Below are 27,761 nucleotides of genomic sequence, written 5' to 3'. Positions count from 1 at the left end.
TATATTTTATTTTATTTTATTTTTAAATCTTTCCTAAGGATGTTGTTTCACCATGGATACAATTTTGATGTTGGTGCTAAATTGCACATCAATAACTAATCCTGTGCATTGCTAAGAAACCCAAAGGTGAAAGTGGCAGTTCAGCAATACTTTCAGTGTTTACTCTCCAGAGAGCTCTTACAGCTCTTCTGGTTTAGAAAGGCCTCTGTGAGCCAAGACCAGACAATAATTTTGGTTCCACTGCACCACTGTTTAAAATAGTCTCAACCAGGCTTTGAATTTAACATCCCCAGTACAATATGTAGGGAAAGGTCAGCTATTTATTTTGTTGCCTGGTTGTTTTATGGGGAATCTTTATAACTAAGAAGATGTACAGGCTTAATTTCTTAAAAAGTCAGTGTTGGGTAATACTCTTGTTTGTAGAAACCAGCACAGTTGGGATCAAATTAAACTTCATTCCCTTGATTTTGTGAATTTGGAGTAGCCTGTAATACAAACTCGGTAGAGAATAGCACCCATAACCCTGACTAACTTTCAACTGCCCTTATAAGGTCTTTGCTGAAAAAGCAACTGTGTTGCACCTGTACTCATGCACACACACTCCTCCGTGGAAACCATACAAAGTAGCCTACCACAGGGTTTGAGATTGTAATTGTCTCTATAGTGAAGATTTTGCTATGAAATTAACTGATGTTACCTGACCAGTAGGACTTGTTCTGAATGTTGGTGAATTTTACATTCCACAGTCTACCATGTCTAACGTTGTATTGTTTCACTGATCTAGACTATCAACCATTGATGAATCTGGTTCCATTTTATCAGATATCAGCTTTGACAAGACTGATGAATCACTGGTAATAAACATTTGATCTCTGAGAATTACCTACTTTTCTTACCTCTGCTTCCCCAGGAATATCTCTCCTGTCTTCTCTTCTGAACATCCTATATTACTATTTTATTAGTTGATGTGTTATAGATTCTGAGCTAGCAATTTAAAATATAAATCCACATGAGCTATAAGAGGCTGGCTTATATATTAGTTTCTGAAGTGAGAATATATAATTCAGAATTTGGCATAAGTTGAGTTCATTTAATAGATCTCTGTGTGCCACATGTACTAACTGATTATATTTTGACTTATTAAAGCCCCAGCTAATAATAAAAATATTAGCAAGACTGTATGTCGTCAGGGTTTATTTGCTGCTCTTAAATAGACTTGTGCCTTATTTCTGAATTAGTTTGGTTCTTGGGGAAAGCATAGTCATACTTCACAATTAGAAGGAAACCAAGGTCCTGGGATTTCAGCCAGAAAAGTGTGATTAGAGTTTCTAGGCACTATATAATGCTTTCATCAACAATGGTTAACATGTTAAACTATTTGTTGCCCTGCTTTTATGGGGCGGCACACTTCTTTTAACTTACAGTGATGCTTCTGCATAAAAGGTCATCTCCTGATACAGTCTTTGATATAGTTCATTGATTTGTGCATCTTTTCTGTTACTAGCTGAAAACTAGCAAACAAAACAAATCAGGAAGTTTTTGGTGACTGGTTTTCTGGTATAGCAAAACAGGTGACAACTATTTGTTACATGGCTAGGAGTTTTCTGTTCAGATTCAGTGTTTGACCAGGGAAAATACGGCCATTTTATAGATAAAAATATTAGGCATCACCTTTCTCAAATAGGGAATGATATAGTGGAGGTCTGGAATATATAATAAAACTAGATCATATTATCAGTTGATTTTTGAGCTAGACCTATGATACGATATTTCTTGTAACTGAAGCTGAATCAAACAACCAGTAACTAAATTACTGGACCATGACTTGGGGAAGTTAAATTTATTTAGCTAAGCTATTATTTGCTGTATACCACTGTTTCTAGATACTGTTTTCAGGGATGATCAGGAGTAAGGAAATCACAGGTAACTACTAAAATGAATGCAAATAGTTAAAATAGGTGAATTGAAATGAGACCACAATAAAAGACAAATAGTTCTTCAGTGGTGGACACGTTTTAGGGCCTAAGTTCCTAAACTGTAGAACTTTTTTTTTTTTTTTTTTTTTGAGACAGAGTCTCACTCTGTCACCCAGGCTAGAATGCAGTGGCGCAATCTCAGCTCACTGCAAGCTCCGCCTCCCGGGTTTATGCCATTCTCCTGCCTCAGCCTCCAGAGTAGCTGGGACTGCAGGCGCCCGCCACCACGCCTGGCTAATTTTTTTGTATTTTTTTAGTAGAGACGGGGTTTCACCGTGTTAGCCAGGATGGTCTCGATATCCTGACCTCATGATCCGCCCACCTTGGCCTCTCAAAGTGCTGGGATTACAGGCATGAGCCATCGCCTGGCAACTGTGGAACTTGTGAAGTGGCAATATTATGCAGAGCATTTGATTAGACAGTGGCAATCCCTTGGGGGCAAGAATCACATCTAATACAATCAGTATAGTGCCTAACATTCTGTAAGTTCTAAAACTAATTACAAAAATAATCAGAAATAAAGGATCAGCCACTGGAAATATGGCAGAATTTGATTCTTTAACCTCTTCTTGCCTCTGTGGTATTGATTCCTGATTTTATTATAATAGCTTCAATTTTTCAAAGAAAGCACATTAACTTACTATAGCTCTATAGCTACAACACTTGAGACCTTCCCTTCTCTAACCCTCCCCGAATTGTACGTTAGGTAGCCTGACTGAAGAAGCCTTTAAAGTTCTCTGTAAATTTATTTGCACAGGGTTTAGGGATGGCCTAACCAAAAAAAGAAATTAATACAGTGTAATTGTCAACAGGATTGGGACTCTTCTTTGGTGAAGACTTTCAAACTGAAGAAGAGAGAAAAGAGGGTATGTATGATTTGTTTAGTCTTTTTTTAAAACAAAGTAATAATGGAGTTATTTTTGGAAATTTTGCCATGATACTGCATTCCTGTCATGTTGCTCTAGCCATTGTTAAGCACATACTACAGATGAATTCATGCTGTGGGGACAGTATTGATATTCTTTTTTTTTTTTTTTTTTCTTTTTTTTGAGACGGAGTTTTGCTCATTTCCCAGGCTGGAGTGCAATGGCGCGATCTCGGCTGAACGCAACGTCCGCCTCCCGGGTTCAAGCAATTCTCCTGCGTCGGCCTCCCAAGCAGCTGGGATACAGGTGCCTGCCACCATGCCTGGCTAATTTTTGTATTTTTAGTAGAAACGGGGTTTCACCATGTTGGCCAGGCTGGTCTTGAACTCCTGACCTCAGGTGATCCACCTGCCTCGGCCTCCCAAAGTGCTGGGATTACAGGCGTGAGCCACTGCTCCCAACCAGTACTGGTACTCTTTGAAGTAGTAACTTAGGACAGAATCCTGTCCATTTCACTGTTTAGGCTGCATTTCAATTCATTCATACAGTGGAAAAGGATAAACTTAAGTTTGTTTTGAATTGTCATATGAATTTTTACACAGAACTTTTGTGCTCTAATATAAGCTTCATATAATGGGATATATAGAGATCTATCTGTGTATGCTTGTTTAGGGTACTTAATGTGTTTCCAAGACTTCATGTCCTTAGTTAGGATTACAGCTGTACTTTTTCTGGTGGTGTCATCTAAATTTCTCCATAGCTTGCTCATTTTTTCTAGGGCACTGAGAGCATTTTTGTACAACATATTCTTTTGAAACAGCTTATTCTTCATGTGGAAATAGGCAAAGAGAGAGAGAGAGAGAACACATTGTTTGTTATTTACTGTAGCCCTAATCCCCAGGACCTGTATCCAAGTTGTTTGATGGAATAATTTTATCTTCTGTGCTTCAGATCTGCTTGGCATTAAAGTTACGGGTCTTTGTCTCCTTTCTAGCGCTCTACTAGCCGACAGTTTGTTGATGGTCCCCCTGGACCTGTAAAGAAAACTCGTTCCATTGGCTCTGCAGTAGACCAGGTAAGAATAGTCAGGCCAAGGTAACAGAGATTACTGGCCCCAAGCATTAAAACTTCTCTGAGTCAGCATTGCAGCATTGTTTTGAGAGACATGATGTTTAGTTAAAGTTTTTGTTTGTTTTTTGAGACAGAGTTTTGTTCTTGTAGCCCAGGCTGGAGTGCAATGGCACCATCTTGGCTCACTGTAACCTCCACCTTCCAGGTTCAAGTGATTCTCTTGTCTCAGCCTCCCACGTAGCTGGGATTACAGGCGCATGCCACCACGTCTGGCTAATTTTTGTATTTTTAGTAGAGACAGGGTTTCATCATATTGGTCAGGCTGGTCTCGAACTCCTGACCAGGTGATCTACCTGCCTCAGCCTCCCAAAGTGCTGGGATTACAGGCGTGAGCCTCCGTGCCTGGCCTTTGGTTAAAGTTTTTCTATGCAGTAGGATCCTTATCCCTATGAATGGAATTACTCTGATGTAGTAAACAACTGTCAGAGTGAGTCTTAGTTGCTTGAATATATACCCCCATGACCTATGTTTATCTTCTTAGGTACGAGATTTCTTTATTTTTACTTTTTAAAGTAGAGGGGGAGTCTCTCCTTGCTGCCCAGGATGACTCGAACTGCGGGGCTCAAGTGATCTTCCCACCTTGGCCTCCCAAAATGCTGGGATTGCAGGCATGAGCCACTGCACCCAGCCAAACATCAGATTTCAACATAAGAATGTTTCAGGTCAGGCGTGGTGGCTCACGCCTGTAATCCCTGCACTTTGGGAGGCCTAGGCAGGTGGATGATCACCTGAGGTCAGGAGTTCGAGACCAGCCTGGTCAACATGGCGAAATCCCGTCTCTACTAAAAATACAAAAATCAGTCGGCCAGGCGCGGTGGCTCACGCCTGTAATCCTAGCACTTTGGGAGGCTGAGGCGGGTGGATCACGAGGTCAGGAGATTGAGACCATCCTGGCTAACACAGTGAAACCCCATCTCTACTAAAAATACAAAAAATTAGCTGGGCATGGTGGCAGACGCCTGTAGTCCCAGCTACTCGGGAGGCTGAGGCAGGAGAATGGCGTGAACCCGGGAGGTGGAGCTTGCAGTCAGCCGATATTGGGCCACTGTACTCCAGCGTGGGCGACACAGCGAGACTCCGTCTCAAAAAAAAAAAAATCAGTCAGGTGTGGTGGCGCATGCTTGTAATCCCAGCTACTCAGAAGGCTGAGGCAGGAGAATGCCTTGAACCTGGGAGGCGGAGGTTGCAGTGAGCCGAGATCACGCCACTGTTCTCCAGCCTGGGCGGTAGAGTGAAAAACTCTGTCTCAAAAAAAAAGTATCAGACTGGGGTCTTAAGTCTTGACTAAGACTAAGGAATTTTTTACCTGCTCCAAAATACCCTATAGTGGAGGGTAAGTTAGATTCTTTGTTTGTCTTTCCTCATTACTACTTTTGTTGCAGGGGAATGAATCCATAGTTGCAAAAACTACAGTGACTGTTCCCAATGATGGCGGGCCCATCGAAGCTGTGTCCACTATTGAGACTGTGCCATATTGGACCAGGAGCCGAAGGAAAACAGGTCCATTGAATTTGTGACTAAACTGGCCTGTGTAAAACAACTAGCAAAATTTTGGAGAGTTGGTTTCTTAGAACCCTCTGGAGGCGGGGATTGGATGTATTGGGTAGTTTCTTACTGCTGCATACCGAGGACCAGAGAACTGCTTGTGTCATGCTTTACCTTTGAATTGCTAGCCCACTGGCATAACTTTAGTTTTTCTTGAAACTGTTTTTTTACATAGCCATTAGTTCTCACTTTTGGCTATGATAACAGATTACTGTTTATCTCCCAGTTAAAATTGGAGCTAAAATTTAGAAGGAGCAAAATACTTAAGACACAAAGCTTAAAAGTTGCTTGTTTTCTAGGTACTTTACAACCTTGGAACAGTGACTCCACCCTGAACAGCAGGCAGCTGGAGCCAAGAACTGAGACAGACAGTGTGGGCACGCCACAGAGTAATGGAGGGATGCGCCTGCATGACTTTGTTTCTAAGACGGTAAATCTGTGATTGTTGTTTGTGTTTTAATTTTTTAATTGTGAAAGTAATAAATACCAGGAATAAAGTTAAATACTTTAGTGTTATAAAGTTAAATGTCAAATTTCCTTCCTCATTCCAATTTTACTCTCCAGAAGTAACTATTGGTTACAGAGGTAAGTTTCTTTCCATTCTGTGAGTAATACTAAATTAAAGAGACCAACTTTTCTGAAGCAATTGTTAGTACTTTTTTTTTTTTAATTTGAGACAGAGTCTTACTCTGTCACCCAGGCTGGAGTGCAGGGGTGTAATCATAGCTCACTGTAGCCTTAACCTCCCAGTCTCAAGCAATCCTCCTGCCTCAGCCTCCTGAGTAGTAGGGATACAGATGTGTGCCACCACGCCCGGCTAATTTTTAAATTTTTTGTAGAGACTTGGTCTTGCTATGTTGCTCAGGCTGGTCCTGAACTCCTGGGCTCAAGTGCTCCCCCTGCCTCAGCTCCCAAAGTCCTGGGATTACAGGCATGAGCTACTGTGCCTGGCCCATTGTTAGTACTTTTTAGTGACACATGTTTACATTTTTTCTTGAATATATCACCTAAGATTTTCAAAATGTTTTGCTTTTGTACCATTTTATTTCCTTATAAAAATCCAAGCAAATTAACTGAGGCTCAGAGGAGTTAACTGACATTTTTGAGCCACATGATAGTAAGTGACAGATTTCACATCCAGGTTTTCTTTTTTTCTTTTTTTTTCTTGAGACAGAGTCTCACTCTGTTGCCCAGGCTGGAGTGCAGTGGTGCGATTTCGGCTCACTGCAACCTCTGCCTCCCGGGTTCAAGCAATCCTCCTGCCTCAGCCTCCCGAGTAGCTGGGATTACAGGTGCCCACCACCATGCCCGGCCAATTTTTTGTACTTTTAGTAGAGATGGGGTTTCACCATGTTGGCCAGGCTGGTCTCAAACTACTGACCTCAGGTGATCCTCCCGCCTCAGCCTCCCAAAGTGCTGGGATTACAGGCGTGAGCCACCATGCCCTGCCAACATCCAAGTTTTCTGCTCTTTGTAAACAAGTTCTTTCCACTATCACACACTGCTGCCTTCCAGTGGGATGACCTTAAACAAGTTACTTAAACTCTCTTTGCTTCTGTTTCCTCATCTTAAAATGAAGAAAACAAAACCTATTTTATGGGATTACTGTGAGAATTACATATGTAAATATGTCTAAAGGGCTTAGAAAATTTTTTGGCACATACTAAGTGCTCAATAAATGTTAGTTGATTATGGCTGGGCACAGTGGCTCACGCCTGTAATCCCAGCACTTAGGGAGACTGACGCAGGCAGATCACCTGAGGTCGGGAGTTCGAGACCAGCCTGACCAACATGGAGAAACCCCGTCTCTACTAACAATATAAAAATTAGCCGGGCGTGGTGGCGCATGCCTGTAATCCCAGCTACTTGGGAGGCTGAGGCAGGAGAATCGCTTGAACCCGGGAGGTGGAGGTTGCAGTGAGCCAACCTCTACCACGCCATTGCACTCCAGCCTGGGCAACAAGAGCGAAACTCTGTCTCAAAAAAAGACAAAAAAAGGCCAGGCCCAGTGGCTCACGCCTGTAATCCCAGCACTTTGGGAGGTCGAGGTGGGTGAATCACAAGGTCAGGAGTTCGAGACCAGCCTGGCCAACATGGTGAAACCCTGTCTCTACTAAAAATACGAAAAATTAGCTGGGCGTAGTGGTGGGCACCTGTAATCCCAGTTACTCGGGAGGCTGAGACAGGAGAATCGCTTGAACCTGGGAGGCAGAGGTTGCAGTGAGCTGAAATCACACCACTGCACTCCAGCCCAGGCGAGAGAGTGAGATTCGGTCTCAAAAAAAAAAAAAAAAAAAAGTTAGTTGATTATGATGATAATTTTCTAATTCATATCACTCTGTTCCTTCTGCCCTGTTTTATCCCAGGTTATTAAACCTGAATCCTGTGTTCCATGTGGAAAGCGGATAAAATTTGGCAAATTATCTCTGAAGTGTCGAGACTGTCGTGTGGTCTCTCATCCAGAATGTCGGGACCGCTGTCCCCTTCCCTGCATTCCTACCCTGATAGGAACACCTGTCAAGATTGGAGAGGTATGACTTATGCAAGCCGTCATTGTTTTATGGCCTCTTTATTCGCCTTTCAAAGGCTTAGTGTCAGTTTTTGTTCTAAAATTAATCATCTCAAATATATTTCTTTCCACAAATAATGACTAGAATTGTAAGATACTTACTTGTAGAAGAGTCCTGTTTGGGTTTGTCTGTCTAATACCTTTCTAAACCAAACTTCTTTCCCCGCCCCTTTTTCCTTCTTGCTCTTCCCTGCTTCTCCTTGCCTCTTCTTCCTTCCTTCCTCCCCTTCATCCCATTTTGGAAAATTTCAGACATATATAAAACTAGAGAAATTAGTATAACTAACCCCTGGTTCTTATCACTTAACTTCCATGATTACTAACTTGTGTCCATTTTTTTTTTTTTTTTTTTTTTTTTTTTTTTTTTTTTTTTAGCTCTATTGCCTAGGCTGGAGTGCACTGGCAGGATGTCAGCTCACTGCAACCTCCGCCCCCCTGGGCTCAAGCGATTTTCTTGCCTCAGCCTCCCAAGTACCTGGAATTACAGGCATGTACCACCACCATGCCCGGCTAATTTTTTTTGGTTGTATTTTTTAGTAGAGATGGGGTTTCATCATGTTGGCCAGGGTGGTCTCAAGCTCCTGACCTCAAGTGATCCGCCCACCTCAGCCTCTCAAAGTGCTGAGACTACAGGCGTGAGCCACCGCGCCTGGTCATGTCCATTCTTTTTTTAATGTCTCTCTTTTTTTTGAGACAGAGTTTCCCTGTTGTCCAGGCTGGATTGCAGTGTTGCAACTTTGGCTCACTGCAGCCTCTGTCTCCTGGGCTCAAGTGATTCTCATGCCTCAGCCTCCCAAGTTGCTGGGACTACAGCCATGTGCCACCATGCTCAACTAATTTTTTTGTATTTTTAGTAGAGACGGGGTTTTGCCATGTTGGCCAGGCTGGTCTTGAACTCCTGACCTCAAGTGATCCGCCTGCCTCGGCCTCCTAAAGTGTTGGGATTCTAGGTGTGAGCCATGGCACCCAGCCTTTATGTCTGTTCTTGATTTATCAATACTGTCGTTGCCTCCTCCTGACTCTGTCCAATGAATTACTTGGAAGCAAATCTCAGCTATCATATAATTTTATCTGTGATAAAATTATCTTTTATTCTTGCTCTTATGTTAGACATACTTCATAATAGGTTATCAAAATGAAGTTGCTTATTTCCAAATATTTAACCAGTTTAATCCAAACTGATTAAATCCATTAAGAAATTATTTATTGCTGAGTGTGGTAGCTCATGCCTGTAATCCCAGCACTTTGGGAGGCTGAGGCAGGAAAATCACTTGAGCCCAAGAGTTTGAGACCAGCCTGGACAACAAAGCAAGACTCCATCTCTACAAAGAATAAATAAATAAGTTAGCCAGGTTAGTGGTGTGCGCCTGTGTTTGTAGCTCCTCAGGAGGCTAGGTTGGACTATTGCTTGAGGTGGGGAGGTTGAAACTGCAGTGAGCTGTGATCACACCACTGCACTCCAGCCTGGGGAATAGAGCAAGACCCTATCTCAAAAAAAAAAAAAATTATTATGTAAGTAACATTAGCAAGAATCAAAATGACTATCTTCCTACCTACTCTTCAGCAAATCAAATATTATTTTCCCCTGATCTTACAAGTTCTTATCCATGCCTGTACATTTTGTTTTGTTTTGTTTTGTTTTGTTTTGTTTTTGAGAGGGAGTTTTGTTCTTGTTGCCCAGGCTGGAGTGCAATGGCGCAATCTCGACTCACCACAACCTCCACCTCCTGGGTTCAAGCGATTCTCCTGCCTCAGCCTCCCTCATAGCTGGGATTACAGGCATGCGCCACCATGCCTGGCTAATTTTGTATTTTTAGTAGAGACAGGGTTTCTCCATGTTAGTCAGGCAGGTCTCGAACTCCTGACCTCAGGTGATCCGCCCACCTCGGCCTCCTACAGTGCTGGGATTACAGGCGTGAGCTACCGCACCTGGCCGCCTGTACATTTTTTTTACACATGTTCTGTACTCTAATATAGAACCATGGAGTTCTCCCCTACAGGTAGGTTTGTGTCATAATCAACTGATAAGATATGTTAAATAATTTTTTTTACTGAGAATAATGAAAGTATACACAATTTTTTTCTCTTGTTCCAGCTTTCTTCTGTTAGAAAAAAAAATCTGTTTAGAGTAATAAATTATTTTATATTAAAGGCTATACCTGTAACCTCATTATTGCTTGTTTTCTGCTGTCCTTGAGTGGATGAGAAGGAGGTAATTATAGCTGGTGGTCTTATTCCTTGTTCACATAACAGTGTGGTGTATATATGAAAAAGAAAAAGTGTGGTATATATGATAATAAATCAGTCCTGGTGTGGAGGTAGGAAAAATAATTGAGAGTCTCTGTTTTAATATATGCTTTGGGAATAGGAATGTAAAAGTAGACATGATGTCCCAGTTTGAGAATAAGATTGGAGGTGGTTCTTCGCATGTGGTCTTCATCTGTTGGTCTACATGGCGTAAATAATAATTTAAAGCTCTTTTTTTTTTCCAGGGAATGCTGGCAGACTTTGTGTCCCAGACTTCTCCAATGATCCCCTCCATTGTTGTGCATTGTGTAAATGAGATTGAGCAAAGAGGTCTGACTGAGGTAAGAGTCAACTGTAGGAGATGGTGAATTTGTTATTTGTGTTAATTCGGAGGTTTTTAAATAAAAATGTCATCTTGATAATAGACAGGCCTGTATAGGATCTCTGGCTGTGACCGCACAGTAAAAGAGCTGAAAGAGAAATTCCTCAGAGTGAAAACTGTACCCCTCCTCAGCAAAGTGGATGATATCCATGCTATCTGTAGCCTTCTAAAAGACTTTCTTCGAAACCTCAAAGAACCTCTTCTGACCTTTCGCCTTAACAGAGCCTTTATGGAAGCAGCAGGTAAGGGCAGATGTAATACTTGAATATGAATTCCTCCACGGCAGTAGTTTTTCTTACTCTCTTTATTTTTTTATTTATTTTTTATTTTTTAGACAGAGTCTCACTCTCGCCCAGGCTGAAGTCAGTGGCGCAATCTCAGCTCACTGCAACCTCCGTCTCCCAGGTTGAAGCGATTCTCCTGCCTCAGCCTCCTGAGTAGCTAGGATTACAGGCGTGTGCCACCATGCCTGGTTAATGTTTTCTATCTTTAGTAGAGATGGGGTTTCACCATGTTAGCCAGGATGGTCTCGATCTCCTGCCCTGTGATTTGCCTGCCTCGGCCTCCCAAAGTGCTGCGATTACAGGCGTGAGCCACCGTGCCCAGCCTCTTTTTTTTTTTTTTTTAAGACGGAGTCTTTCTCTGTCGCCCAGGCTGGAGTGCAGTGGCGCTATCGGCTCACTGCAAACTCCGCCTCCTGGGTTCAAGCGATTCTCCTGCCTCAGCCTCCTGAGTAGCTGAGATTACAGGCGTTAACGGTGTTATACCATGTTAGCCAGGCTGGTCTCAAACTCCTGACCTCAGGTGATCTACCCACCTTGTCCTCCCAAAGTGCTGGGATTACAGGCATGAGCCACCACACCTGGCCACCTTCCTCTTTTTATTAGCTCCTGCCTAGTACAATGCCTGAAACATAGTAGGTGCTCAAGTAGTTTGATGGATGAGTAACTGTATGCGTGTCACCCTTGCCTATCCTCTTGCTTTCTCATTACGTTATTGTGTACAGTGTTCTTCCTTTCTTTCCTTCCTCTCCAGTTAGGTTGGAGCTTTTTCAATTCTTAGAATATACCAAGTTTACTCCCTACCTTAAGGCCTTCACATTTGTTGTCTCAACCTGAATGCTCTTACATTAGATACAGTATGGTTTGCTCCTTTATTTCTTTCATATTTCTCTTCATATACCTTGTCCCCAGAAACACCTTTCCTGACAACCTTGTCTAGATTAACAGCTCTCATTTCTTTCTAGCTTCTTGCCTGCCTTGTTTTCTTCATTTATGTATCACTCTACCTGATAGGTATTTGCTTTTTGACTGACTCCACCAATAGAATGTAGGTTCCATAAGATAAGGGCTTTGTTTACTTCTGCTTTATCCTCAGCACTTGTACCTGGCACATCGTAGGCCCTTAAATATGTCTCATGAATGAATACCTTCTTGGTAATTGTAGTCACTGCAATTGTATGCCTGTCTGCCTAGCACATCAGTTGCCAACTGCTTTCCCTAACTGCAAAGGCCGATTTTTTAAAAGTTTTGACTTCTAATATTGAGCTGTTGGCCAGTATCCTGCTTGTTAATGAAACTAGAGTCTGATGTAGTCATGAACTAATCAGGAGTTTCAGAAGCTTACTGTATAGATGAGACTTTGTGGTCGATAACTTGGAAGCCCGCTGTCAAGGGAAAGAAGTCTAGGCCTCTTGGTGCTTTCTTTTCAATTACAGAAATCACAGATGAAGACAACAGCATAGCTGCCATGTACCAAGCTGTTGGTGAACTGCCCCAGGCCAACAGGGACACATTAGCTTTCCTCATGATTCACTTGCAGAGGTGAGTACAGCAGAAACTTGTTCTGGGAGTTAGGGAATTTTTTTCCAAGGGGAAGATAATGTGGGTTGAGTGTTTGGGAGTATGAGGGATGAATTGTTTTCTTATAGAATTTATATTTTGGTCTGCATTTAAGCAAGGAGCAAGACTTCTAATTTAATATTCTTTTGCTTAGAGTGGCTCAGAGTCCACATACTAAAATGGATGTTGCCAATCTGGCTAAAGTCTTTGGCCCTACAATAGTGGCCCATGCTGTGCCCAATCCAGACCCAGTGACAATGTTACAGGACATCAAGCGTCAACCCAAGGTAGGCAGGTGCGTGTGTGTGTGTATGTGAACTTGTGTAATGTGATAACTTGAAAGACAGTTGAGAAGCCCTGAGCTTTGGAAGTTTGCTAACAGATTTGCTGGCTTTTAGGTGGTTGAGCGCCTGCTTTCCTTGCCTCTGGAGTATTGGAGTCAGTTCATGATGGTGGAGCAAGAGAACATTGACCCCCTACATGTCATTGAAAACTCAAATGCCTTTTCAACACCACAGACACCAGATATTAAAGGTAAGGCCCAAGATGTGCTTCTTCAGGGACTTGACTCTCTCTTTAGTTTTAGTCATATGACCTCTTCCTGCCTTTGCTAGAGCTGTTTGAAAATTCTAACATTAAAGGAAAATTTGTATAATTCTACCATCGTAATTTTTTTTTGCTTTTCCATGTTCTCCTTTCTTTATCCATATGGATATATGTTTTTTAAATATAGATATAATAGGCTGGGCATGGTGGCTCACACCTGTAGTCCCAGCACTTTGGGAGGGAGGCTGAGGCGGACGGATCACAAGGTCAGGGGATTGAGACCATTCTGGCCAACATGGTGAAACCCCATCTCTACTAAAAATACAAAAATTAGCTGGGTGTGGTGGCGCATGCCTGTAATCCCAGCTACCAGGGCGGCTGAGGCACAAGGAATTGCTGGAACCCAGGAGGCGGAATTTGCAGTGAGCTGAGATCCCGCCACTGCACTCCAGCCTGGTGACAGAGTGAGACTCTGTCTAAAAAAAAAAAAAAAAAAAAAAAAAAAATATATATATATATATATATATAATAGTTTAAATATAATTCATTCTTATTTCACTTAGCATGTTGTGAGAACTTTTTCTCATGTATAATCTTATTTATCATTTACTTAAATGTTCTAGTAGGTATTAACATTATTTTTCAATTTTTCATAATTACAAGTAATGCTATAGTCAATATAGCATTTCTCTTAATGATAAATTCCTAAGAGTGGGATCACTGAATTAAATGGCTTGAACATTTTTATGTGTCTTGGTATGTTTTACCAACTTGATTTATTAAATTTCTTATAGGCTTTTGCCAATTTATATTGCTAACCAACAATTTTATATGAATAGGCTGGTTTCACTCCAGTCTCACTGGCATTGGAGACCCATTCTTTCATTATTGCAAGTTCCTTCTAAGGGAGCATATTGCTTCTTCTAGTATAGCTAAAAGTCAGATGTTTAGATGTTAGATTTGTGAAGTGTGGAGTTAGAGAATGGCCTAAATCAGGACGTGTCAGCTATTCATTGAGTTCAAAAGATACACTAGTGTGTTACAGAATGATGACAAAAATGATCTCTGGGACTTTGCTAGATGTCTAACCTTAGCTCTTAAGTGCTTCAGAGGGTAATCAGCTTAAAACTAGCCATCTAAAAAGATGCCTTCTTTTTTCCCACCTCTCTTAAAAATATGTCTGAACTTTGAAGTGAGTTTACTGGGACCTGTGACCACTCCTGAACATCAGCTTCTCAAGACTCCTTCATCTAGTTCCCTGTCACAGAGAGTCCGTTCCACCCTCACCAAGAACACTCCTAGGTATGCAGAATTGGCCTTCCTAGGAAATAAAAAACAACTACTTTCTTAGACTTCTTATTATATTGAAGCTTATTGAAAGAAAAATTGCATTCGATTTTAGCTAGCAACTAGACTTTAAAAGGGAACGTGGGGCTATAAGGATTCCTTCTTTAAAAAGGTTCTGAAAGTCTTTACTATTTCCCCTCTCTCGTTGTTGGTGACTAAGAATACTTAAGCAACTATTGCAAAATAGTTGTCTAGGGTTTCCTACTTATAATGGGTTATATCAAGTAATATTATAGTTGTTTATTCAACCATTTTTTATAGAATATTTTTCCAGTTCATTCTCTTTTTATTGTAGATTTGGGAGCAAAAGCAAGTCTGCCACTAACCTAGGACGACAAGGCAACTTTTTTGCTTCTCCAATGCTCAAGTGAAGTCACATCTGCCTGTTACTTCCCAGCATTGACTGACTATAAGAAAGGACACATCTGTACTCTGCTCTGCAGCCTCCTGTACTCATTACTACTTTTAGCATTCTCCAGGCTTTTACTCAAGTTTAATTGTGCATGAGGGTTTTATTAAAACTATATATATCTCCCCTTCCTTCTCCTCAAGTCACATAATATCAGCACTTTGTGCTGGTCATTGTTGGGAGCTTTTAGATGAGACATCTTTCCAGGGGTAGAAGGGTTAGTATGGAATTGGTTGTGATTCTTTTTGGGGAAGGGGGTTATTGTTCCTTTGGCTTAAAGCCAAATGCTGCTCATAGAATGATCTTTCTCTAGTTTCATTTAGAACTGATTTCCGTGAGACAATGACAGAAACCCTACCTATCTGATAAGATTAGCTTGTCTCAGGGTGGGAAGTGGGAGGGCAGGGCAAAGAAAGGATTAGACCAGAGGATTTAGGATGCCTCCTTCTAAGAACCAGAAGTTCTCATTCCCCATTATGAACTGAGCTATAATATGGAGCTTTCATAAAAATGGGATGCATTGAGGACAGAACTAGTGATGGGAGTATGCGTAGCTTTGATTTGGATGATTAGGTCTTTAATAGTGTTGAGTGGCACAACCTTGTAAATGTGAAAGTACAACTCGTATTTATCTCTGATGTGCTGCTGGCTGAACTTTGGGTTCATTTGGGGTCAAAGCCAGTTTTTCTTTTAAAATTGAATTCATTCTGATGCTTGGCCCCCATACCCCCAACCTTGTCCAGTGGAGCCCAACTTCTAAAGGTCAATATATCATCCTTTGGCATCCCAACTAACAATAAAGAGTAGGCTATAAGGGAAGATTGTCAATATTTTGTGGTAAGAAAAGCTACAGTCATTTTTTCTTTGCACTTTGGATGCTGAAATTTTTCCCATGGAACATAGCCACATCTAGATAGATGTGAGCTTTTTCTTCTGTTAAAATTATTCTTAATGTCTGTAAAAACGATTTTCTTCTGTAGAATGTTTGACTTCGTATTGACCCTTATCTGTAAAACACCTATTTGGGATAATATTTGGAAAAAAAGTAAATAGCTTTTTCAAAATGAACATGAGGCTGGTTTTCTTGTCTTGCAAGGTAATTTTCAATGCCTTTTAGAAAATCATTTCTGGGGCTGGGCTTGGTGGCTTATGCCTCTAATCCCAGCACTTTGGGAGGCCAAGATAGGTGGATCACCTGAGGTCAAGAGTTTGAGATATGGCCAAACTCTGTCTCTACAAAAAATACAAAATTAACTGGGCGTGGTGGTGCACACCTGTGGTCCCAGCTACTTGGGAAGCTAATGTGGGAAAATTGAGCCTGGGAGGCAGAGGTTGCAGTGAGCTGAGATCGTGCCACTGCACTCCAGCCTGGGTGACAGAGTGTGAGACCCTGTCACAAAAAAAAAAAAAGAAAAAATTACTTCCTTCAAAGTGTCTTGACTCTGTTGTTCATCCCCATTTCCCACTCTCTGGACCCACCCCAGGCTTACCACCACCGGGAGTTTGTTTCTTCATTTCTCATCCAGTCTCTCTTTGTCCAAACTGGAGTTGTAGAGTTGTCCTATGCCTGTTGTCTTGTTTAAAGAAACCACAGTCATGAGTTGCATAATGACAGGGATACATTCTGAGAGGTGCTTCATTAGGTGATTTCATTGTTGTGTGAACCTGAGTGTCCTTAAACTAACCTGGATGGTGTGGCCTACTACACACCTAGGCTGTATGGTATAGCCTATTGCTCCTAGGCTACAAACCTGTACATCATGTGACTGTTCTGAACACTGTAGGCAGCTGTAACGCATGGTAAGTATTTATGTATCTAAACATAGAAAGGGTACAGTAAAACTATGGTTATTATAATCTTATGTGACTACTGTTGTATATGGGATCCCTTATTGATCAAAACGTTATGTAGTGTGTGACTGTACTTAAAAAATAAAACAACAACAACAACTTTTTAAACAAGTCTTTAGGGACCAGAATGGTGCAGATAAAAAAAAAAATTGCCTCTGGCTGGCTGACTGCCTAGAACATCCTTCACTGCTGGAAGTGACTTTGGAGTGAGCTGGGATGATTAACTGAGGGCACCTGCACTTGGAACTCTGAAGCTGGTGAACAGAATGTATCTGAGATTGAACGTAAACAGTTGTAGGCTTAATATGTAACTGTGGAGAGAGGAGGCAACCTACTGGCTTTTTTCCCAGGAGGGGGCAGCTTCACAGCAGGGCCCATCTGCCTCAGCAAATTGACAGAGGATGGGTCCCATACCCCCTTTCACACACGCCTGCTAGGCCTTGTTTTTTAAAACTGCCCTAGATGCTACCTCTTTTCTTATGTCTTTGCAATCCTAGCGTTGGCCTGGTTCCATATTTGCTGTTCTGTAGTATCTCCCCAAGGTGCATTTTCAGTCACTAATGTAGAGGAAGTAAATGGATTGTGTAACATTAGTGAAGGCAAGGCTACCCTATGCAGGAACCAATGGTCCATTAACGAAAAAGGAAATGGTCCTGTGTGTCAAATGTTGGCAACCATTTGCTCAGTTTTTGGGCTAGGCCAAGAGACCTTAGCCATGAAAATAATTCTGATAATAGCAAAGGGAAATATATACCCACCTTCAACTTCTTTAACAGTACTTCCTGCGGAACAGCCTGACTTTCCAGGGCCTTCTTAATTATACCTCCTCAATGTGAGGGCTGTGGAAGGGGGTCCAGTGCTTTGGAGTAGCCATCAGTCCATCTCTTACTCCTAACCCTTTCTGACATTCCTCTCTTTTAATGCAGTTTAATTTTACTATCGCACTTGCTAATAAACAGAATCTTTAAGTTGTGATATTTACCTTTATTCTCCCTGATCTATGTAAGACTCCCTAGTTTGATGTTTATCTAACTGGGCAAGCATTACATGGTTGGATTCAGCTGCAACAATTTGAGTTTATTACTGGGTGTTTAACAACTTATCCTTCCTTAAGAGGGTGAATTCATTGCTTGCAGAGATAGAAGAAGGAATGTGAGTTTTGGTCAGAGGACATTTAGGGTGCGCAATTGATTTACCAGGGGAAAAAAGTACTCATTTTTGGTTATGAACTGAGCCTGTGGCATTGAAATTGGTCTTGTGTTCTTTTTATTTTATTATTTATTTTATGCCTCCCAAGTAGCTGGGACAACAGGCATGCCCCACCATGCCCAGCTAATTTTTAAATTTTTTATAGAGACAGGGTCTCACGATGTTGCCCAGGTTGGTCTCAAACTTCTGGACTTAAGTGATCCTCCTGCTGCAGCCTCCCAACAAAGTGCTGGGATTACAGGCATGAGCCATTGTGCCCAGCCAGTTCTTGCATGCTTAAATTATTAGGCAGCACAAAATGACAAGGAGAGCTGAGGGAGTACAGGGAGCAAAGATACCAGGCTTGCTGCTTTTGTTTTGTTATGGTAGGGTCTACCTGCACACCTATCTAGCTTCAGATAGATTGATATGGTTTGTGTCCCCAGCCAAATCTCATCTTGAATTGTAGTTCCCATAATCCCCACGTGTCATGGGAGGGACCCAGTGGGAGGTAATTGAATCATGGGGATGATTACTAACCTCATGGTGTTCTCGTGATAGTGAGTTCTCACAAGATCTGATGGTTTTATAAGGAGCTTTTCCCCCTTTTGCTCTGCACTTCTTGCTGCTGCCATGTGAAGGACATGTTTGCTTCCCCTTCTGCCATGATTGTAAGTTTCCTGAGTCCTCCCCAGCCATGCGGAACTGTGAGTCAATTAAACCTCTTTCCTTTATAAATTACCCAGTCTTGGGTATGTCTTTATTAGCAGTGTGAGAACGGAATAATACATAGATACATACATACACACATATGTACATTACACTTGGTAAGTGATTTCCTCTTGGAAAAGCATTTAGAGGCCCCACTGCTATGCCTGGCATGCCAAGGGGTTCAATCGTGCATCACCTTTTCTTAGGCTCTCAGCACGAGCAGGGCAAGAGCTGGTGTGGATGCCCAGATGTGAGACGTGAGGGTGGCACAGCTCACACAGTACGTTCTTGATCAATGTGCTTTGATGATAGTCTGAGTGATGACTCAGGTTTCAGCCACTGATGGAAAAAGCTTTCAAGCATGCAGAGTTGGGGCATGTTAGCCATTGTGCTTTTAGTGTAAACAGGGTTTGGAGAATGGCCACTTAACCTAAGAACTTGGTAATTTTTTAATATGCCCCCTGTAGCGGGTATATTTTGTAAATAAGTGAAGGCACCAGGCCAGGAGGTCCCTAACTTGGGTAGTTTATTACACACTGGTTCTCAGAGCTATATTTGTTGATGGTTTGTGTTCACAAAGTCAGGTGGAAGACAGTTTGACGTCACCAGGAATAACCTTGTAGCATGTGGGAGCTTTGTCCTCTGCAATTGCGTGGGATGGGGAAGGAGGCTACTTTTCAGGGACTCCTAGTTGGAAGCAGGAATTTTTCCTTTTGTCTACCTTTCTCCCTCTGTAACTCTTGCCAGGCTTCATTTAGCTGCATTGTTTTTTATGCAGCATTACTCTCATATCTCACACAGTTGGGTACCATCTCTGTGCTAGGCTCAAACACATGTAAATGGATATTTAGACTTATAATAAAGCACCAGTTAAATCTTCTCTGGTCATCACTGAAGATGGAATTAGGAACTGATTCCCCATAAAGTCTCTAGGGAATTTAATATGGTGATTTACCATATACAGAGCGCTTTCATTTATCGTCTTACTTGATCTCACTTCACCCACCGGAGGTGGGGCAGGACAGGTGATACTATCCCAGTTAACAAATTCAGAGAGGTGATTTGGCTCAAACTCCTACCAACTAATGTGTAGCTTACCTGGGGTTAGAATCTGGGAGTTACAGCTTAGTCTGAAGGTTAGCCCTGGTGCTTGCTATTTCAGACTTCAGAGAGCATTGTGGGGCCTCTAAGTGTATTATTAGGTACTTAAGTACTAGTAAATGGCCTTTGCTTGGAGCCAGTGTTATTCACATTCCATGCAAGGAAGGATCTTGTTCTGCAAAGTGAGCAACTATAAAATGAGCAGCGCTGTAGAAAGAGATGATCACTTACTTTGCAGGAGTTCTCTCCATTATCCTAAGAACTTGGTAAGTCACACCCAACCTAGAGCCGCAGATTGCACTGAGGACTCTATGTATGTGGATGTAGTATGCATTCTCATTATGCATTCTCAGCAGATGACCCAGAAAGAGCAGGGAGGCCCAAACTGCTGGAGACGGCACGTGGGGCAGAATTTCCTAATGGTTGTCTGGGAGAATGGAAGACCTGGGCTTGGTGATGTAGGGCTGTTTTCTGTGTGGAAGGAGCAAGATGAGTTGTGTGAGCACTTGAGGTTGCTCCTGGTGGCAGTCTGTTTTCAGGCCACCCCTGTGCATCCTGTGTGCTCTGATGCTCAGAGCCAAGGACAGGCAAGTCTCGGAGCCAGAGCCATCAGCCTGCTTCTAGAAACGTGTCAGTGGATTAACTGATTAACTGACTGGCTTTCCCCCTAAGTGGCATTAGCTCTCACCCTGTCTCATGCTCACCATCTGGCTTTGAGTCTTCGAGTGATCTCTCTTCACAGCCTGCTTTGCGCCTGGGCTTTCCGAGGGCTGTGCAGCACTCTGCCTCATCAACCCTAGGGCCCAGTGCTCTCCAGGAAGGGGAGGTCAGTGTGCTGTGTCCACACATATGCATACCTGGGATCTGAAGACTACTTTAGACCTCAAAGGAAAAAAACCAGCTCAAGGGAGAATGAGCCTCCATGGTTAGTGACCTAAAGTCTTTTTGTTGTCAAAACTAACAAGTGGATCTGTTATTAGGTTAGCTTTTAAAATGGAGTTGCTCCCACCACAGAGAAAGCTCTTTCTGCCAGTGAGATGATAGTTTGTCCAGATTTTGGTAGAGAGATATTCAAAGGGGCTGGGATTTTTCTTTCTCATTAGGAAGCAAAGCCCGGGGGTGGAGGTGGTTAAAGGAACCACCTCCCTTCCTCCCAGGGAGCTGGCTGTGGCTGCTCTCTCCTCCTAGGTTAATATACATTGAATGGGGCTAAACGCCTGGTGCTTCTGGACAGAGTCCAGCCCCTCAGCAGAGCAGCCGCACTGTGAAGATACAGCTGCCGGCATTAAAGGGCTAAGCCCTTTCCAGCTGCTTTGCTTTAACGGTATCAGGAATTGCCTGCAGTCGGCAGCTTAGCAGAGCAGTCTTAGCCCGATTAGGAGGAAATGACTAATCTCTGCATCTTCTCTTGACACTGCTCTGGAGGCTCCGGGGAAAATAACCCAGTGGGTTGGGAAGTGGTTGGATAAATGGTGTTGGAGTGCTAGGCTCTAGCTCCTTAAAACTGTGGTCCCAGCTTGGTGTGGTTTGTGTTTGTTTTGCCTCTGTGAAAATAGGGGGCTGGCTTCTCTTCAGTGGACTCCCTGGCACTGAGGGAGAGGAGACGTTCACTGTGAGGGGTGGCCTGGGTACTTAAAAGCTGGTACAGCAAGAGATGTGCAGAGTTGAGAGCATATGGGGGCAATGTATCCATCCCCCTGGGAGGAGGAAGACACCTAAGATGGTCCCCACTTCAGCCTTCCATTCCTCTTTTCACTAAAACCCCATGTAAAGAGCCAAGATTCAGACCCGGCACAGTGGCTCACACCTGTAATCCCAGCACTTTGGGAGGCCGAGGCGGGCAAATCATCTGAGATCGGGAGTTCAAGACCAGCCTGACCAACATGGAGAAACCCCATCCCTACTAAAAATACAAAATTAGCCGGGCATGGTGGCGTATGCCTATAATCCCAGCTACTCAGGAGGCTGAGGCAGGAGAATCACTTAAACCCAGGTGGCGGAGGTTGCGGTGAGCCAAGATTGTGCCATTGCACTCCAGCCTCGGCAACAAGAGTGAAACGCCATCTCAAAAAAAAAAAAAAAAGAAAGAGAAATTATCATTTCATTGATTGAAAAGATGCACTTTGGAAAATATTGTTAATATCTCTGAGAATTGGGACATCTTATAATCAATGGCATCTTACTAATATAATGCAATGTTCCTCAGTAGCTCATAAAATAGTAGTGCATCTTGTAATCAATGTTATTTGGGTTGGAAGTGTTAGCTATTCATGTGAGATAGGCTGTTGGATGGACCAGCTGTGCAGGCCAAGAAAACAGCGACTTTGCTGTGGTCAAAGAGAGATTAAAACAGGAGGTTCCCCCTGGTCTGAAAGATAGCTACAGTATAGGAAAAGCAGAGAAACCAAGGCTCAGTCCAAGACACATAGCATGAAGAAGCAGACAAGCAATGTGTGGGGCAGGATCAAGATTGGACCCAGTCATGACCCCAGAGCTGTTAGGGGAAAGCCACTGTGAATCAGTGATGAGCTGACCAAAATAACAGTACATCCTGGTGGACACCAGGCTGCTTTAACACATGAGAGATGGGAGGTTTTAGACATTCTGTTTGGGCTGGGTTTTGGGAGTGTGTGTTGCAATCCTTTGACCACCTCACTCATCAAGAATATCAGAGGAAGTTCTTTCTTCTTTTGAAAATGAAAGGCCATGATTTGGGGACCTACAAAAAAAGGAAGCCTGTCTCATAGGACAGACAGTAAAGATAAGGAACATATTGCCCTGAAATTAGAAGTAGACTAAAAATATCATTTTGTTTAAGGAGATATTCCTGTTAGAGGCAGATGTTCAAATAACTATGAAGTCACGTGTTCAGTGCTGGGATAGAGGTGGTGCAGAGTGCTGGGGGAGCTCACAGAGCCTTAAGGTCCTGACATGAGAGCTGGAACTCGGGCTGTGCCAGGCAGTTAGGGAGGGACAGAGCGTATTTCCAGAGAAAGCCCCTCCAGCCTGCTGCTCCAGAACCAGACGCCCCTGACTGCTGTCCTGGCCTCTTCCCTCACCACAGGCTGGACCCTTGTTCCCGGATCAAACCCAGGGTCAGGATGCTTATTTTCGTGGCCCAATAATGAGACACAGGTGGACTGGGAAAGAAGGGAGTTTTCATTTCTGTAACCGGTTACAGGGAGAAGGCCTGGAAATTATCACCACACCAACTCAAAACTACAAAGTTTTCCAGAGCTTAGATACCTTCCAAGCTAGATGTCTGTGTGTAAGTGTGCATTCATCTAAAGACATAACTTCTTTTAATCTATAACTAAGATCTGAGGCCTGAAGACCTTCCTCTGGAACCTCAGTAAATTTACTTAATTTAAATGGGTCCAGGTGATGGGGTGATTACCCTTGTCTCCTGCTAAATCATGGAGGTTTGGGGAGTTCCTTCAGACCCCCAATAAACTTGTTTAATCCTAAACAGGCCCTGTTAATAATTCTTTTGTTATTTTGTCATGCTTTAAGCTCTAGGAAAGGCCTAGGCAAAACTCTTTTTTTTTTTTTTTGAGACAGGGTTTCGCTCTTTTTGCCCAGGCTGGAGTGCAGTGGTGCTCACCACAACCTCCACCTCCCAGGTTCAAACGATTCTCCTGCCTCAGCCTCCCGAGGAGCTGGGACTACAGGCGCCCGCCACCATGCCTGGCTAATTTTTTGTATTTTTAGTAGAGACGGGGTTTCACCGTGTTAGCTGGGATGGTCTCGATCTCCTGACCTCGTGATCCACCTGCCTCGGCCTCCCAAAGTGTTGGGATTACAGGCGTGAGCCACCGTTCCTAGCAACCTAGGCAAAACTCCTGGTGGCCGTTTGTTATATTCCAGCCTTTGTATAAGGGCACTGGCTGTCTTAGCTTTTAATATTTAACTTAACCACTCAGTGAGTACTGAAACAGTTGTTATGGAGGCCTGCATTAGTGAGACCTGGCCTGCCACACGCTGGCCTGGCTGGAGCTTGTTTCATCTGTCCATGGGGGTGGAGCGGGAGTTATTTGTCCCTGCCTTTGTCTCTGGCCTCCTCCACCTGCAGCTCTGGCAATAGCTGCCCCTTTATGGGTTTCAATCAGAGCTCTGAAACATTGTTTTTCATTTCCCCCTTTTCTGCTAATTAACTGCAGCCTATTAATTAGTGCTATTGGACTCCCCACTCCCATAAACCCCATTCACTAACCATGCCTTGCCTCCCCAGCTTTTGCTAAATATGTGACTGCGCTGTAGTGTAGCTGCCGCTCCCTGAGAAGTGATTACGGATCTTGGCTATGCTGACCCCCTGCCACAGCTGCCCAGAGAGGTCACAGCTTGGCCAGATGCTTCATCTTGATTAGCCCTTAACTTCTTCCCTCCCTTCTTCCCTCCCCATCTTCCTCTCTGACATTGAGAGGGCCTGGCACTAAGCTGTCAGTTAAAATCCCTCTTAGTATCAAGCATCGATCTCTCTTCTCGCGGCACTCCCTGGGGTTGCTCCGGGGCACAGAAAACAGCACTGTGGGGCCAGAGGAACTTAGCTGATCCCCTCCCCTGACCTGGTGGAGTCTCCCATCAAAACCCAGATCTGCTTGTTTCAGATCCCTTGACCTCATTATCGATCACAGTGATTTTGGTCTGTGTTACCCCTTTAACTCTCAGCTCTGATGTCAGCTCCCTTTTTGTTTACTTAGCTTTCATGTGAAATTCCTAATCTTCAAAGCTCTGCTTCTTTTCACCTCTTTTCCACCCCACCCAGACTTCTTACCTCCATTCCTGGAGTCTCCCAACTCTCCCAGTGTGATCACTTCAGTGCTCCACTTCTCCGTTATGAGAAGGCCCTTATTTCTCGCTCTCTTTTTTTCTTTTGAGACTGAGTCTTGCTCTGTCGCCCAGGCTGGAGTGCAGTGGCGTGATCTCGGCTCACTGCAACCTCTGCCTCCAAGGTTCAGACAGTTCTCCTGCCTCGGCCTCCCATGTAGCTGGGATTACAGGCATGTGCCACCACGCCTGGTTAATTTTTGTATTTTTAGTAGAGATGGGGTTTCACCTTGTTGGCCAGGCTGGTCTCAAACTCCTGACCTCAAGTGATCCACCCGCTTTGGCCTCCCAAAGTGCTGGGATTACAGGTGTGTGGTTAGAGCCCGGCCTCTTTCTTGTGTTTAATTCTTATGTTTTAATTCTTGACTCCTCTTCTGTGATTCCCCCTTTCCCCCAAATACACTCATAAACTCTCTCCCCCCGTCCCCCCTCAGCTCAAGCTAAGCCTGGGGTATGGGAAGGATGTGATCCCTTCTTTAGTAATAGCCCAGGCCTCATTAGAAACTGCAGGGGAAGTAGCTGAACTTATGGTAGACAGAATGCAATACCGCGATCATGATGGTGGTAAAAATAGCTACCACTGATTGAGATCTGACTGCCTGTCAGGCATGGTGTGAAACACACACACATCTCATGTAGTTCTTCCAGCTCCCTTTTGACTGTACTCCATCCTCCAGATGAGGAAAGTGAGGCTCAGGATCCTTAAGTAACTTGCCCAAGTTCACACAGCTGCTAAGTGCCTGAGCCTGTATTTAAACTCTGTCAACTCCCGATCTATGTTTATGTAGTTTTTTTTTTTTTTTTTAACTTTGGTCCGCACAATCCTTTAGGTGAAAGTGATTTTCTTTGGAATGTAAAAGCGCCCAGATCATGGTGTGACTCTACTCTTCCTTCAGTCCTAGGAGACCAAATGTGGCTCAGAGCCCTACCCCTTCCTGGCCTTTTCCCCCTTGCACAGTATGACCCCAGATGAGGCCTGTCCTCTTTATACCTGGAGGTAGTAGATCGAAGATGAAAAGTGGGGGTGGGAAGCGGAGAGGGGCTTCCTGCCAGCCAATCGGGACGCGACCGCCCAGGCTCCCAGCACAGCATCATCTGCTCCTGCTAAGACAATCATCAACATAAAAGGCTAATTGTATTAATCACCAAGGCACCCGGCCCGAGTCCCCCTCCCTTTGGGGAGAATTATGAATTGCAATTGCAGATGGCTCCACTGATTGAAGGCAGTGCTCAGCAGGGAGAAGGGTCAGATCAGATTATACACCATTAATTAAAAACTTCCCTGACAAACAGGAGGAAGGGAATGCACACCAAGGGCTGGCCTGGTTGGGTCTCTGTCCTCCCCATGTCCCCTGCCCCCACCCAGGCCCAGGGGCTATGCCAATGAAGCCTGCTTCCCCCAGCTGGAGCTACTGAGATTCAGCTCTCCAAAGGCCAGCCCTTCCCTCATCCAAACAGATGGCCTGCTGTCCTATTAAAGGGCTCCAGAGGAGGGGAAGCGAACCTTTGGTTACTTATTTCCACGTCTAACCTTGGATGCTCTTCAGAGGCTAACCTAATTCCCCACTTCTCAGGAAACTTATTTCCTCCTGCTCTGTCCTGACAGAACTGCTTTGAAGAACTGTTAGTGAAAATAGCCCCTCAGCTTTCTCTTCAGGCAACCCCTCATATTTTGGCCTGTATGTTCCTGGGACAGACATTGTGAAGCCTGCTCTGAAATTGTGGGTGGAACAGCAAATATCTGGCGATGCACCCTCTCCCCAGCCCCTGCCTGGAAGCATAGGCTTCTCAGCTGCTGTCATACTGGCTTATTTGGAGCTGTAACTCCTGAAATTTTCTCCTCTTGATCTATTACTGCCTCCCATCCTCCCCAACTGCCCAGCCTTATTCATTCATCAAACTTATATTGAGCACCCAGTGTGTGCTTGGCTCTGGGGACAAAAAGCAGTGATCATTTGTCAAGGAGCTTAAGAGCCTACCATAGGAGCTCCACGCCCCCATCCCCTTCAATCCTCTAGTTCCTGTTTCCTTCCTTCCTGGGGCTGCAGCTTGTATGAACCCCCCAGGAGCTCTATTTTGGAAAATTCTCAACTGGGAGCTGGGGAGACCTTAAGTGTTCGTGCTCCTGAACCAGGTGACCTTGAGCAAGTCAATCATGTCCTCTGTTTACACATACGCTCTCATACATGCATACATACAGACACCCAGCTCTCCCTGCTCATAAAAGGACACAGGCAGCCTTGGACTCTGAGAGATTGTGAAGATGGATGAGTGGGGCCCAGCTTGGAGAGATGTGAGTAGTATCTGCGCTGATATTACAGAACGCTGAGCACAGCTACTGGGGCTATGAGCACCAGGGATTCAGCTACTGCACTGGTCACAGGCTGGGCCTGCCACACTGCCCTTGGAAGACTTGGGCAGCCTTTCCCCCATCCCCAGTCCCTCAGGAGACATCACTAAAAAGGATCTATCTTTTGTTTGTATTTTAATTTAATTAATTTTTCATTTTAAATAATAGAGATGAAGTTTCACTATGCTGCCCAGGATGGTCTCAAACTCCTGGCCTCAAGCAATCCTCCTGCTTGGGCCACCCAACATGTTGGTGATTACAGGTTTGAGCCGTCATGCCTGGCTAAGTTTTTAATTTTTTGTAGAGGCAGGGTTTTGCCATGTTGTCCAGGCTGGTCTCGAACTCCTGGCCTCAAGCGATCCTCCCACTTTGGCCTCCCAAAGTGTTAGGATTACAGGTGGGAGCCACTGCACCAGGCCAGGACCCATCTTTTGTTTTGTTTTTTTTGTTTTTTTTTTTGAGACAGAGTCTTGCTCTGTCACCAGGCTGGAGTGCAGTGGCGTGATCTTGGCTCACTGAAACCTCTACCTTCCGGGTTCAAGTGATTCCCCTGCCTCAGCCTCCCAAGTAGCTGGGACTACAATCACGCGCCACCACGCCCGGCTAATTTTTTATATTTTAGTAGGGACAGGGTTTCACCATGTTGGCCAGGATGGTCTCGATCTCCTGACCTCGTGATCTGCCCGCCTCAGCCTCCCAAAGTGCTGGGATTACAGGCGTGAGCCACCGTGCCTGGCCGCCAGGACCCATCTTTTATATGAATTTGGCTGCTGCATCTTAGGGTACCATGGTGATGGGCGTCATAGAGATGAGAAGAACTGATTTTATTGGTTCGCCTCTTCATTCCAGGGCCCTCCCACAGCCCCTCACACCC

The 27,761-nt window shown here is 43.9% G+C and overlaps 1 protein-coding gene across 29 annotated transcripts in view; it reads left to right on the top strand.

Moving 5' to 3' along the window:
- Nucleotides 1–15,927, top strand: part of RACGAP1 (Rac GTPase activating protein 1) — a 44,279-nt gene extending 28,352 nt beyond the window's left edge. For all 29 annotated transcript variants that reach the window (XM_024448958.2, XM_011538238.1, XM_017019227.2 and 26 more), the window contains 13 exons: nucleotides 785–854; nucleotides 2,789–2,842; nucleotides 3,837–3,917; nucleotides 5,356–5,473; nucleotides 5,818–5,948; nucleotides 7,885–8,049; nucleotides 10,580–10,675; nucleotides 10,760–10,958; nucleotides 12,434–12,539; nucleotides 12,712–12,844; nucleotides 12,956–13,091; nucleotides 14,297–14,405; nucleotides 14,746–15,927. In XM_024448958.2, the coding sequence (XP_024304726.1) occupies nucleotides 785–854; nucleotides 2,789–2,842; nucleotides 3,837–3,917; nucleotides 5,356–5,473; nucleotides 5,818–5,948; nucleotides 7,885–8,049; nucleotides 10,580–10,675; nucleotides 10,760–10,958; nucleotides 12,434–12,539; nucleotides 12,712–12,844; nucleotides 12,956–13,091; nucleotides 14,297–14,405; nucleotides 14,746–14,821 (1,474 nt within the window). In that variant the 3' untranslated portion in view covers nucleotides 14,822–15,927. The remainder of the gene's footprint in view (nucleotides 1–784; nucleotides 855–2,788; nucleotides 2,843–3,836; nucleotides 3,918–5,355; nucleotides 5,474–5,817; nucleotides 5,949–7,884; nucleotides 8,050–10,579; nucleotides 10,676–10,759; nucleotides 10,959–12,433; nucleotides 12,540–12,711; nucleotides 12,845–12,955; nucleotides 13,092–14,296; nucleotides 14,406–14,745) is intronic.
- Nucleotides 15,928–27,761: the final 11,834 nt, after the last annotated feature.

This window comes from Homo sapiens, chromosome 12, assembly GCF_000001405.40.
Source record: "Homo sapiens chromosome 12, GRCh38.p14 Primary Assembly".
NCBI lineage: Eukaryota > Metazoa > Chordata > Mammalia > Primates > Hominidae > Homo > Homo sapiens.
This window is presented reverse-complemented; position numbering and strand designations above follow the sequence as displayed.